General features: G+C 37.4%; 1 protein-coding gene across 1 annotated transcript in view, besides 1 other annotated feature; it reads right to left on the bottom strand.

Moving 5' to 3' along the window:
• Positions 1-14,568, bottom strand: part of FAR2 (fatty acyl-CoA reductase 2) — a 186,339-nt gene that overhangs the window by 145,273 nt on the left and 26,498 nt on the right. The window lies entirely within an intron of this gene.
• Positions 3,397-3,898: an enhancer, noted in NCBI's record as "H3K4me1 hESC enhancer chr12:29339379-29339880 (GRCh37/hg19 assembly coordinates)". NCBI's record gives its function as "activates a minimal SCP1, AML or CMV promoter by ChIP-STARR-seq in naive H9 embryonic stem cells {active_cell/tissue: H9 hESC(naive)}" and the evidence as "EXISTENCE:reporter gene assay evidence [ECO:0000049][PMID:30033119]".

Raw genomic sequence — 14,568 nt, 5'->3', positions numbered from 1 at the left:
GTGCTGATCCTTTTTTTTTTTCTGTCATCACTCTTGCCTTCTCCCTGGGTTATCCCATCTAGCCCCCTGGCTTCAATTACCATCTGTATGCTGATAACACTATAATTTATATCTCTAGTCCAGACTCCTCGCAGGAGCTCCACACTCCTAGGTGTGCCCGCTCATTTGACTTGTCACCTTGTCTAAAGAGCTTCTCAAACTTAGCAAGATAAAAACAGAACTTTTGATGTCTGTATCCTCCCCTCCAAAGCTGCGCCTTCCCTAGTATTCCCCACCTCAGCAAATGGCATCACAGTGCACACATTTCCTTCAGACCTCCAATCCATGAGTTGTCCTTCATCCTTCTATTTCCCCTCATTCTCCTACCCCTACTTCATATCCAAACTACCATCAAATCCTACCAGCTGTATCTTCAAAGTCTGTCTGGAATCAGCTCCATCTCCTCCTTGTTGTTTGTTACCATCCTAATTCAAACCTATATCATCTCTTGCCTAGATGACAACAGCCTAAACTGGTCTCACTGCCTCCACTCTTGGAACAGTTAGTTATCCCTTTTTGTTGCTGTTGTTTTATAAAATATTTTTGGAGCGATCTTTTAAAAATGTGACTCAGTGAGCCCTGTGGCAGTGTATTAGTACAAACTCATGTTTAGTTTAATGTAGATACAGATGGATAGATATATAAATATTTATAGATATGTGTATATATATTGGTTAGTTCACACAAATCATGCATTTCTTAGCTATGTTAACTGAGAGGGCCTAGAGTCAATGACACCTTGCTAGCAATTAGAACACTCAGGGCACAAATCTTGGTTTCTAATATCATTCTCCAACAAGAGGAGCCAGAGTCCTTGGAGAAATGGCTGATTCTAGCACTGGGGAAGGAAAAATACAAGGTGAGCGTACAGCATCTTGTAGTGGCAGAGAGTAAGATAGTGCTCAAAAAAAGGATACGGGTATATCAAAGGAATATAGGAGCCAACCTGAAAGAGCTCCCACCAGCCAAAGCTGGAACAAATTGAACAATAAAATAAATAACGTAGTATTTGGATTATTACACAAAGTATGATATAATTATCCATGAGTTTGTACTGATATAAATAAATAAATGTTTGAATAAAGAGATAAGTGAGGAATAATGGGCAAATCTTCCATACAGGAGAATTTCAAATAATAAATGTGGCTGTTCCCCTTTCCGGGAGATGCGGCTGAGTTCCCTTTCCCCCTTCTCCTTGAAGGTTGGGTAGACTTAGTGCTCTGCTTCTAAAGCATAAAATATGAAGAAGGAAAAATAGTAACTTTATAGGGGAGAAATTAAGCAAGCACTACCGGAACTAAGTGATGAAGGTTAACATCTCCAGTAATGGCATGTGGCTACCTATCAAAAACCCCTGATATGATATGATAAGAAGGACACATCACCTCTAGGGTAGTCTTTCAAAACACCCCTAATTTGAGCCTAATTATGAGGGGAAAACATCAGATAAACCTCAGACTGGGAAAATTTTTACAGGGTACCTGACCAGACTCTTCAAAACTGTCAGGGTCATGAAAAAAAAAAAACAAAAAACAAACAATCAAACAAACAAAAAAACAAGAAAAGACTGAGGAAATATCAGAGACCAGAGAAAACTAGGGTGATTTGATGACTAAATGCAGTGTGGTAGCTGGGATTTGATCCTGGAACAGAAAAAGGAGATTAATGGAAAAACTGGTGAAATTCAAATAAAGCCTTGAGTTCAGCTAGTATTCATGTACCATGGTATATTAAGATGCTAACAATGGTGGGAACTGGGTGAAAGTGTGCAGAAACCCTCTGTACTATCTTTAAACTTTTCTGTAAATCTAAAATTATCCCCAAATTATCAAATTATCCCCAAATTATCAAATTATCCCTAAGTTCATCTTAAAAACTTTTAAAAAAAGGCTGCTTTTACACTGTAGGGTAAAAGTTGGAAAATTTAGCAGAGTGTTCACTCTACAGCAAATGAACATAAAATGAGAAATAAATGAAAATTAAGGGCAGAAAAGCTGGGTGGTGATAGACCCGAAGCTAAAGGTGAGGTTTTATGGACCTCACTAAAATACTAAAAGAAAACAACAGTGGAAAAATTGGGAAATTGTGTTTTAAAAGCAGAAGCATAAATATTTTTTATAATATACTTAGTGGGTGAACTAGAAGAAAAATATAGTTTCATAGTGATACAATAATTAGTAATCCCTAAATCTGTCTTTTTTGAATTTAAAGTCATTATAACAACTCAACATCATGAGGCCAGCATGAGGATGGGAGATGGGATGAGCAGTCTATACAGTCATAGTGAAGGTAGTGATTCTGAAATAGCCAGAACAAGGGCCAGCAAATTATGGTCCATGTGCCAAGTCCAGCCCACAGCCTGTTTTCGTAAATGTAGTTTTACGAAATGAAACTGGCTGATTGGAACACAATCAGTCCCAGTAGTTTACATATTGGCTACTGCTGCTTTCATGCTACAATGGGAAGCAGAGTTGAGTAGTTCTGACAGAAACCATTAAGTTGGTAAAGCATAAAATATTTATAATCTGGACTTTACAGAAAATTCAGCCAGAAAGTATAGACAAAAGCAGACATACAGATCCATTGTCCAGATTACACAACTCTCTATTTTGGTGGAGGAAAAATAGACCCACAAAAATATATGTAGACTAGAAAAGACCATTTATTTTATTCTCTTTTTAGGGCACAAAGGTATCAAATCCCAGCTAAATTATGAATAAATCATTCCCTTAAATCTTTTCAGACAAGATGACATGATTGCCTCTTTCTCATGATCTAAACCTGACATGTACAGGCTCAATATACTTTAAAATCTATGGTTTGCTGTGTTTAAAGACTTAAAAATTAAAAGGTTTGTATCTGAAATCCAAATAAAAAATTATATATATATACGCTTCTTACTTCAGGGTTATTTCAATTGAAAGTCAAGCAGAAATAAAAAGATTTATGAAAAATAATTATATAATACTCCAAGCAAAACGTTATTTAATAACTGAGCTCTAGAGAAATGAAGAAAAATTGACAAAATAGTTACATTCAATACAGCAAGAAAGAATGCCAGAAGGAGCTTAGTAACACATAAAATTGATATTGTAAAAAAAAGGGTTAAGACATAAATACTTTATTAGCTGGAGGAAATACAGGAATGTTTATGGAAGTTTCAGCAAGAAAAATTACGCAAATACTACTACCAAGAACAGTTATAAGAACTAAGCCGGGCCGGGCGCAGTGGCTCACACCTGTAATCCCAGCACTTTGGGAGGCCGAGGTGGGCGGATCACGAGGCCAGGAGATCGAGACCATCCTGGCTAACACGGTGAAACCCCGTCTCTACTAAAAATACAAAAAATTAGCCGGTTGTGGTGGCGGGCGCCTGTAGTCCCAGCTACTTGGAAGGCTGAGGCAGGAGAATGGCGTGAACCCGGGAGGCGGAGCTTACAGTGAGCCGAGATTGCGCCACTGCACTCCAGCCTGGGCGACAGAGCGAGACTCCGTCTCAAAATAAATAAATAAATAAATAAATAAATAAATAAATAAATAAATAAATAATAAATAAAGAACTAAGCTGTATAATTCTAACAAGAAGGGCTAGAAACTTGTGCTCAGGTACTATCCTACATAAATAATGAAAGCAATTAGGGCAAATGGTAAAGATATTGCATATTTTTCAGAAAAAGAATATGTCCAGCCTGGAATTATCAAATGGGCCATTTAGCTTCAGACCTAAAAAAAATACTCAAGTGACTCATCCAGAAATCAATTCGCAACTCCTTAAAGATCAGAGAACACAAAATAATCTCAAGCGATTATTTGCAATTTGCAACTCCTTAAAAGATCAGAGGAGACAAAATAATGATGAACATGGATTTGGCTTTCTGTAAAACAGTCTATCAGACCAATCTCCTGTCTCTATGACACAGTGACAGGAACAGTAGACGGAGTCAGCTGAAGTCCTGCACTCGGGTGCTTATGACACTAATTTGTGAGAAAGACACACAGGATCTCCTAGAGCTGCAATATGGGGGCCACACCTAGGCACATGTGGCTACTGGGCACCTGCACTGTGGCTAGTCTGAATTGAGATGTACTGTTAAGTATAAATATATAACAGATTTTGAAAACTTAGCACAAAAAATATCTCATTAATAATTTTATATTGATTACATATTGAAATGATAAAGGTTTATGTAGACAGGGTTAAAGAAAATATACTATCAAAATTAATTTCACTAGTTTTTAAATATTTTAATGTGACAGCAAATTTAATATTACAGGTGGCTTGCATTTACGCCTCACATGATGTTGCTGTTTAATAGCACTGTCTGAAATATAGACTAATGCTAAGCCCAGAACATCATGGAAAAATCTCGTATCATATGTGAACATCAGTTTTTCCTTCTGTCTATGGGGCAGGGGGAGGTTGAGAGGTTGGCGCGTAGGATGGGGGCAGGATAATTATTTGTTGAATGGGCGTGTCCCTTGTATTGCAGTATGTTTGGTATTTCTAGGTCCCACCCACTCATGCTCTGCCACCTCTAGTCATGACAACCAAAAAACACTCTTCTCGTGTTACCAAATGCTCCTGGGGTACAGTGGGGCAATATTATCCCATGTCAAAGGCAGATGAGCTAGGAGATAGCAAAGATTCTTTCCACTGCTGAATTTTTATGATTCTACAGTGTGATTTTTATAAAACTCCCTTTTTTGTCTTGATTTTATAAAAATTGCTTTTTTATTAATATATTTACCTAATGTCTAATGATGGCTTATTGAGGGCTGAACTACAAAATCATTCTTGTTGTTCACCCGGTATAATGTTCTAAGTTTGTATGAAGTTTATTTTTCTGGTGCTTGTTTCCTCCTGCTTTTTATTTTATTCATTTGTATACATGTTTTGTGCTGTAAGCAGGATCATAAGCTCTGATGGAAGAAACAATAAACTTTCTCTCTCATAACAAATGAACAATAGATACCAATGAAGTAAAGGGATCCAGAGGACAGGATAGTTTTCTAGATTGACTTAGAATCTGGTGTTATTTAATATTTTCAGTGGGACTAGGGTAGTGTAATATATCATTAATTTGAAATTTAACCATATGCTGCCTTTTGTAGTAAAAAACTGACATAGATTTAAAATTATCTATGAATTATCCACATGAAATAAAATTAGAATAGGGCAGAGAATTATGTCTTACTGAGGTAATAAATTACATTTAAAAATAACTATATGATATCATATACATTTTCTAATTTAGGAATTGAAAGAACCCTATGAAACAGACATTATCACTTCCATTTTATTAAGAGGAAACTGAGGTTTAAGGTTAGCAACCTGATGATAAAAATGTCAGAATTTGAACCGAGAACTTGAACTTAGGTCATCTGATGACTAGGCTGATGATATTTTTACCTATTCCTACTGAGAATTCAACACAGAAGAAATAGATTCTTAAAAATGAAGGAGAGATTTAACTAAGCCTCACAAATTTTGAGGGTTGGGGTGAGACACCAGAATATGCTACTAAAGATTTTAAAAACTCCCTCTTTAGGGACCTTTAAGAATGAAGGGGCCGGGCTCAGTGGCTCACGCCTGTAATCCCAGTACCTTAGGAGGCTAAGGTGGGTGGATCGCTTGATGTCAGGAGTTTGAGACCAGCCTGGTCAACATGGTGAAACCCTGTCTCTACTAAAAATAGAAAAAAATTAGCTGGGCATGGTGGTGGGCACCAGTAATCCCAGCTACTCGGGAGGTTGAGGCAGGAGAATCATTTGAACCTGGGAAGCGGAGGTTGCAGTGAGCTGAGATCGCGCCACTGCACTCCAGCCTGGGCGACAGGGCGAGACTCCATCTCAAAAAAAAAAAAAAAAAAAAAAAAAAAAAAGATGCTAGATTGGCCTTTACAATGGTTCTTAGGAACCAGCCCATATAATTGTTCACAGTGAAAGAGTGGAAGTAATTCAAAAGAAGTACAGTCTTGAACTCTGAGTGGTATTTAAGAATTCAGTGACAATTTACCTTGCCTACACCTCTTTATTTAAAGCCTGACCTAATCTTTCCCAGAACTGCAGATTCAAATTGATTTCTGTGGCTTGGATAGACAATTATCCCAGTGGAGTTATGTAAGGTCCTTTATAGAGGAGAAAAATCAGCCTCTCAGAAATTTTCTGCCTTTGTGCTGATACTTGTTTTTATTGAGGTAAAATTCACATAACACAAAATAAATAATTTTAAAGGGTACCACTCTTTAATATAATTTTTTGTTATGTGTTGCCACTTAGTAATTCACAATGGTACACAGCCATAACCCTTATCAAGTTCCAAATCTGTGTTGATATTTGCAGTTAAGAAAATTTTAGCATTTTTAAAGGTTTCCTAATAAAATAATGAGGTGGTATAGATTCTGAAAATCTGAAGGCATCTAGTAAATGTTCATTTGGAATTAAACTAGCCATTTAATACATGAATGATACATGATTGTGCTTGATAAATGAATGATAATAAAAGTTAAAGTGCTGTTAAAAACCAAGGTAAAATGCTAGCTAGAGACTGTCTTATGGAAAAGTCCTACTTCTCCATTTTATCTTCAGTACGAACATAAAAGCTGTACTACAAAACACTATAGCCATATTTCAAATGAAATTTGATTGCTGTTAACTGTAGAAAATTCCATATTTATTGGAAAAAGATGCATTCCAGATGCATTTAGAAAGTATAATTAACAGAACAGATGGTGAGATGAATATGGCAGTGAAGGAGAGAATGTTGTCAAAAATCTCCCTTAAGATTCAGACTTCATTCATATAGGCCAGGAAGACTTAGAAGAAACCTAGTTTGGAAGGAAGATCTTGAGTTCGAATTGGGCTAGGATCAATTTCTAGTCTCTTCGAGACAATCAAATGAGTTAGGAATAGAGAGGAGTTGTTTGGATTGGAGATTATGTTTGTGAGTCATTGATATGTAGGTGATAATAATTGAAAGGGGAGGAATGAATGAAACTGCTAAGGGAATTGGAAAAGGAGGCCAAGGAAAGAATGTTGAGGAATCTTAAAAGAGTGAATTGTCAGGATGGGACAACTGAAGACCTTGAGAATGAGCAACTGCAGAGGTAGGAGGAAAACCAGGAGAGTGTATTGTCATAAAGGCCAAAAAGAAGGGGTATTTCTAAAACGATATACTGACAAGAGTTGAATACCACTGAGACTTCCGCTTTAATGAGGACTGGAATGCAATTGGCCTTAGGGATGTGATGGTTACTGAGATTTTACTGTAGCAAGAGTTGTTTAGTGGAGTGATGGAGGAACAGGATTACAGGTCAGATTGGAATGGACTATGGAGTCAATGGAAAGTAAAAAAAAAAAAAAAAAAGACAATGAGTAAAGATAATTCCCTCTGAAAATTCCTCCTGAAGGGGCAGAGATGAGCAATAGCTCTGGAAGGAATAGGTGTGAATGGGAAAATGAAGAGATACGTAGATAACCCTTATGCTGCTCAGGGTCTCATCCCCTAAACGGCCCTCTCCCAGTAAAACCCTCCATCTACATCCTTGATGTTGAGGGAATTCACTTCATTTATCCATCCACTCTTGGCCCAACTAAACCAATCTCTTAAACTAGTAGAAAGATATGACCCCTTCCAGGCACATACTTACATTTTAACCAGAAACTCATTGTCTTATGATAGTGAGAGGTGAAGCCAGCTGGACTTCTGGGTTGGGTGGGGACTTGGAGAACTTTTCTGTCTTACAAGAGGATTGTAAAAGCACCAATCAGCACTCTGTAAAAATGCACCAATCAGCGCTCTGTGTCTAGCTAAAGGATTGTAAACGCACCAATCAGCACTCTGTGTCTAGCTAAAAGACTGTAAATGCACCAACCAGCACTGTGTAAAAATGCTCCAATCAGCACTCTGTGTCTAGCTAAAGGATTGTAAATGCACCAGTCAGCACTCTATAAAATGGACCAATCAGCAGGATGTGGAAGGGGACAAATAAGGGAATAAAAGCTGGCCACTGCAGCCAGCAGCTGCAACCCACTCGGGTCCCCTTCCATACGTGGAAGCTGTGTTCTTTCACTCTTCACAGTAAATCTTGCTGCTGCTCACTCTTTGGGTCTACACCACCTTTAAGGGCTGTAACACCTGCTGTGAAGGTCTGTGGCTTCATTCTTGAAGTCAGCGAGACCAAGAACCCACCAGAAGGAACCAACTCTGCACACAATAGTAGTGTTAGTACCCAAGGATGGCTTCTATGGGAGAGATACTTGGTCTGGGAATCTTTCCTCTCTTCAAATCACATACATTTTCCTAAGATTACATGTATTGTTCAATGAACTATCTAGGTATAATCTGTCTATCTATCTATCTGTCTATCCTCTATCTGTAAAATCATCTTTAACCTCCATTTATACTCAAAAAAATACAAAGGCCTAAAAATCTCCAGATTGCCTTTTATTTTCTTTTGTGTTTGCTTTTAAGATGGGATATTCTTGAATATTCTTAAATGCCAATAGGTAGAATCAAGTATTGGGGGAAATGTTGAGATTAAAGCACAGAAAAAATAATTAGGGTGTGAATTGCCTGAAAGGCAGAAGGGTATCCAACTTAGAGCCCAGATGGGCAGATTTACCCTAGATTGGAAGAGGAACAGCTCCTCTGTACAGCAGTAGGGAAAGAGGAGCTGATGGGTGTCACTGAATTTAGGTCTGTTATTCTGGTGGGAGGCAGGTTCTTTCTACTGTCTTGCATCTTCTCTGTGAAGTGAGTTATGTGGTGAGAGTGGAGTGGAGGAGAGGCACTGAAAGTTTCCGGAAGCAGTGAAAACACAAGCTGACCAGAGAAGCCATTGTTGTCATTGCTGTTGTTTTGATAATTTTATAAGTTAGAGATTTGAGCTAGGAGTCTATTTTCCATAGAACATGTTCTCCTAAAAAAATTGGCTAGTTTTTCATGAAACTCACAAAAATCTTCTTAATTCTTAATGAAGTAGTAGTAATATAATATTAATGATACTATTTTAGCCTTAATGACTCAAAGGAGGTGTTTAATAAGTGCTTTTATTAAAAAAGAAAAAACATTCAACCTTTAGTGTGTAATTCTACGGGTGAACGTCAGGAAAACTAATCTAAAAATTTATCTCTCTGTTTCTCAATTGTTACAAGATGTATTTGAAAGATTCTAAGCATAATAACAAGATAAACACTGGTTATTGAGTCAAGTAGAAAAACATGCAATTCTATATTTTGCAGATAAGTACATAGGAATTAATGAATATTTAAGGGTAATAAAACTAGATACAACATATATTGATTATGTAAAAATATATGTGCTTGGAAAAGATAAAAAAAGAAGCTGCCATCCTCCTACCACACCAAAAATGTAAGAAGATATATCACAAACTGATATTCTTTCTGTACACAGAAGGATTATGAGAAGAAAATGAGAAAACCAAATGATTTCTCAGGCAATCTGGAGGTTTTCAGGCTTTTATATTTTGTGAGTATGAATGGAAGTCAAAGGCGATTTTACAGATAGAGAATAGATAGATAGATAGATAGATAGATAGATAGATAGATAGATAGATAGATAAACAATGAATAATACATGTGATCTTAGGAAAATACATACAATTTGAAAAGAGAAAAGATTCCCCAGACCAAGTATCTCTCCCATAAAAGTCATCCTTGGGGCCTAAAAGTACTATCAGAAGACAATGAAATTTCTGGTTAAAATGTAAATATGTGTCTGGAAGGGATCATATCTTTCTAACTAGTTTAAGAGGTTGGTTTAGTTGAGCCACAAGTGAATGGACAAATTAAGTGAACTCCCTAAACATGAAGGATGTGGATGGAGGGTTTCATTGGGAGAGGGCAGTTTGGGACCCTGAGCAGCATAAGGGAACTGGAAACTCATGTTGGAAGAAGCAAAGAACTCAGAGGCATTTTGCGCACCCTTGAGTATCTTTATGATACTGGGCTTCTCAAGATAATCATTGAGTCATTACTACTCTGCAAGAACAGGGCATAATGAGAAGTGATATCTTGCTTTGTTTTGGTTTTTTGATCAAGAAAAGCAATATCTTTTGCTTCATATAAGCATTCTTTTATTATTTTACCCACCGTGAATTTGCTTTTAGATTAGCTCCACACATCACACCTTCTGCTGGTAAGAGTGAGTGAGCCTTTGAGGGAAGTTTTTGTTGAATTTGGCTCTCCTGGGGATGGTTGATTTTAGCTTTCCTTGACTGATTTTGTGAACTATTGAATTGTCTCAAGGTTGCTCTTAAAGAGGATTTTCCATTGCAAATATGAGATAAACACCCAAGTCTGTAATATCCATACTCCTCAGCCCAGCTACTTTGAAAGGCAAGGTTTTTTTGTTTGTTTGCTTTTTTCATCAGCCACTTTTCTCCTCTTGGAAGTAGTCATAGAAGAGTTTTATATTTTATAGAGAAAATGGCCCATATTATTCCCATCAACGGTGGTCCCTTCTATAATACCTGACTAGTAGAATCACAGCTTACAACTGATTACTTGATTCAGACACTGGATCACTAAAGTAGAGGAGACAGATGGGGCCAGGCAGAGTTTGATTCTCTCCATGCCTCAGTTTTTCCACTCATCATAGGAAAAGTATTCCTGAAATTAGATCATACAAGATAGAATGGCCATGGACTGCCTGACAAGGTCGGAGTAGGTAGGTGTCTCTCTGATGTTGTGGAAAGTGAACAAAGGAGTCTTAGTATGATAGGTCGGGGTGTGAATGCCAGCTTTGAAAAGAATTTTCACCTTTGCATTTCAGTTCTGTCTTCTGTTGAATGGGGCTCATGCCTGGCTTGTTGCTTTGTTGTGAGGCTTAATGGGAATGTATGTAAAGAACCTGGCATAGGGTAAGTACACAGCAAGTGGCTATGAATGGAAATAAAATCTCTGAACTACCTAGCCCAATGTTCCAGGCACAGGAGAAGCCTGCTACATATAAGTGTCCTTGCTCTTTCCTCCTCCCATGATGTATATCAGCAACTTTCTGAATATTGACATCAGGAGTCACACACAATGCAATTAAGAGATTGTTATGGGCTGAATTTTGTCCCCCTCAAATTAATATGTTGAAGTTCTAACCTTGATAACCTCAGAATGTGACCATATTTGGAGATAAGGACCTTATAGAGGTAATTCAGTTAAAATGAGGTCTTTAGAGTGGGCCCTAAACTGACCTGACTGGTGTCCTTATAAGTAGAGGAAACCTGCACACAAACACATACAGAGAGAAAATGTTCTGAAGACACAGGAAAAAGATGGCCATCTACCAGCCAAAGAGAGAGAGAGGCCAGGAACAGCTCCTTCCCGATGGCCCTCAGAAGGAACCAACCCTGCCAGCATCTTGATCTCAGATATCTAGCCTCCAGAACTGTGAGAAAATGCATGTCTGCTGTTTCAGCCATCCAGTCAGTGGTATCTTGCTGTAGCAGCCCTAGCAAATTCATCCAGTGAAATTAAGACAGAACATTCAATAAACACGTAAATTAAGCCATATATTGTCAGCAAAGGAAGATATTTTTTGAATAAGTTCTCTAATGTAGTTTCTCTAGTTTCCATATCCTATACTACAAGAAGCAATATCAAAGAACATGGGCCTTACCATATTAGAAAAACAAGGCTGTCCCCCGTCCTGGGCCCCTTTTTGAAAAAAAAATTGAGACAAGATCTTGCTGTTTCACCCAGGTGGAGTACAGTGGCACTATTGTGGCTCACTGCCACAATGTGCCTGCCACTGTGACTCGACGTCCCAGGCTCAAGCAATACTCCCACCGCAGCCTCCCAGGTAGCTGGAACTACAGACAGGCACCATCATGCCTGAACTAATTTTTGTATTTTCTTGTAGAGATGGGGCTTGGCCATGTTACCCAGGCTAGTCTCCAACTCCTGGGCTCAAGCAATCTGCCCACCTCAGCCTCCCAAAGTGCTGGAATTACAGGTATGAGCCACCACACCCTCCTTTTTCTTAAAACAAAATTATTTATGGGCATATGCTTTTTAAAACATTATCACTTAATGTAAGTTTTAAGAACATAAAATAGTGGTGGTACTGGGAATGAATTTTACTCCAATTTCTTTTTTTTTTTTTATTGTTATAATGGTTACAACTAATCTCATCCATTTAGGCCACTATTTCTGAGGACTATTAATTTTACAGTGACCACCAGATGAAAATCATTAGTTTATTCTTCATGTAGCAGACCAGGAGTGTGTGTCTCACATGAGATGCCATGAATTGCATTTGAAATTTTAGAGGCACAGCATAGACTATCCACCATCTTGTCACTGAGCTCCTTCCCATTAGCAGAACAGATAATGGAAATTTTCCTTACTTCTTTTTGCATGATTCTTCCCATAATGGTAATTTGCCTTCTGGACAGAATATACAGTGGCTGAGGTTTTTTGTTGTTGTTGTATGTTTTTTGTTTGTTTTTTTTGTGCTTATACTACAATAGCTATTTAATTATAAAGTTAATAATTACATGTAATCTCAGGAAAATCTTGGAACGCATCTGTGAAATGGGGATAAAAATACCATCTAGAGCCCAGAGTAAATGCCCCACTCTAGGATTTTGTCCAGTTCTGAGATCTGTGAATGTGTGAATTTGACTACAGTTCAGGTACTGTGTCAGAGTAATGTAATTTCAATGCTTTTTTTCAACCCACTACCCATTTTTATCATTTGCAAGTACCTTATTACTTCTCCATCTGTCGGAGAAAACCCTAGGATAGCCCTTGTTAGTTAGCCACAGGAAATCTGGTTATACCCCAATTTTTAGTTGAAATTTCTGCCACTGGCAGAGTTCTCAGTGACATCATTCTTCTATCCACACTTTTTTCACAGAAGTATTTTTATAATAATACTTTCTAGTAAAAACACAAATAGAAGCAGAAAAGAGCACCTCTTAAAAATCTCTAATCAAACCTGGAGCCAGCTCTGTTTTTTGCCCTGTACATTATTTGGAAACTACAGATCCCCCCCGCCATTGCTATCCTGGATCCATTGCAGCTGGAATAGACTGGAATAAGACTGATGAAATTCGGGTCAAGTGTCTGAAAATCTGGGTGTTTGTTTGAAGGCACTCAAATATCATCTCTAAAAGATTTGGCTCCATTTCCTGTTGCATCATTCATAAACTTCCTCAGGCTCGTAATCGGGTTATTTATTTAAATCGAATGCATTTCAGAAAGTTCCTTGGCTTGAGACAATATTGACTATTGCTTCATTTTGTGACATAAGCACTCGGTGTTGATCAGTCTTGTTTAACCCAGTTGATGATGGACAGGAGGTCAGCATGGCTAAATTAAATTTATTGGTAGTTTGTTAAAGAATACTAATTTAACCTATAATTTCTGCCTTCTCCACAACCAAGCCATCACTTCTTCTTTGAAAAAGTATTCAGTTAATCTATCTCAAGTTTCCTTTTTTTCCCTTTTCTCCATTACATTGACATGTGTCCACATTGCCCATATGAACACAGAGTAGCTAAGGCAGAATCAAAATGGTCAGGGGCACAGCCTAAATGTTTACACACTGAATTCAAGATCTTAGGCAAGTTTAACACATTCACATTTTCTTTATACTATATTTATAGCATCATTTCCTCAGCCTGTGTTATAAGCCACTGAGTAATTTTGACTTTTTGTTCAAATATCATAAAAGTTGTTAATATAAGCATGACAGTTTTAGCTATCATTCTTATTTCCTTTTTTCTAGATCATCTTTCAACTAGTTAATATAAACAATTTTCTCAAATAAAAATGAGCTTTCCTTTTCTGAAAGAGCTGTCTCTTTTCCCAGTTGAAAAAAAAATGCAAACTAAAGATGTTCAAAACGTTGTCTTTGAGACTGACAGATGACCTGCCTGCTTTCACTGTTCTCATTCAAACTCAGCTGGAATTCTGATGACCAGACATCACAGAGCTTCATGACAGGCCAGTGGCTCTGATGACGGCAAAGCACACCACAGGCAGTAAATTGACTCAGAAAAGCAAATGAACAATTATTTCAATTACTGAAAAATAAATATCTTATATCCATTAGAAATTAAATCTTTTCTTTAAATAAAGCTGCTAAGCATTTCCCCAAAACTTTCATATGAGGAATCTGGGGAGCATAAAATTAAATGATGATAATGATGATCTTAAAATACTTCCTGCTATGTTTAGTGCTTTTGAAAATTTAATTACTATGTACGTATCTTATAAAACTACAGAAGTGCAAATTTAAAATTTCCAACCTTTTAAATTTCATAAACTGAGGTCACCTAGCTTTTACTTTTGATATTAAATTTTGGTATTTTGCTTTATTTTTCAATTTTTACTCTAGCATTTTATAAGATTGAGAGATGAAGCCAGCTGGACTTCCTGGGTCGAGTGGGGACTTGAAGAACTTTTCTGTCTAGCTAGAAGATTGTAAACGCACCAATCAGTGCTCTGTGTCTAGCTAAAGGATTGTAAATGCACCAATCAACACTCTGTAAAAATGCACCAATC

This window comes from Homo sapiens, chromosome 12 (assembly GCF_000001405.40).
Source record: "Homo sapiens chromosome 12, GRCh38.p14 Primary Assembly".
Taxonomy (NCBI): Eukaryota; Metazoa; Chordata; class Mammalia; order Primates; family Hominidae; genus Homo; species Homo sapiens.
This window is presented reverse-complemented; position numbering and strand designations above follow the sequence as displayed.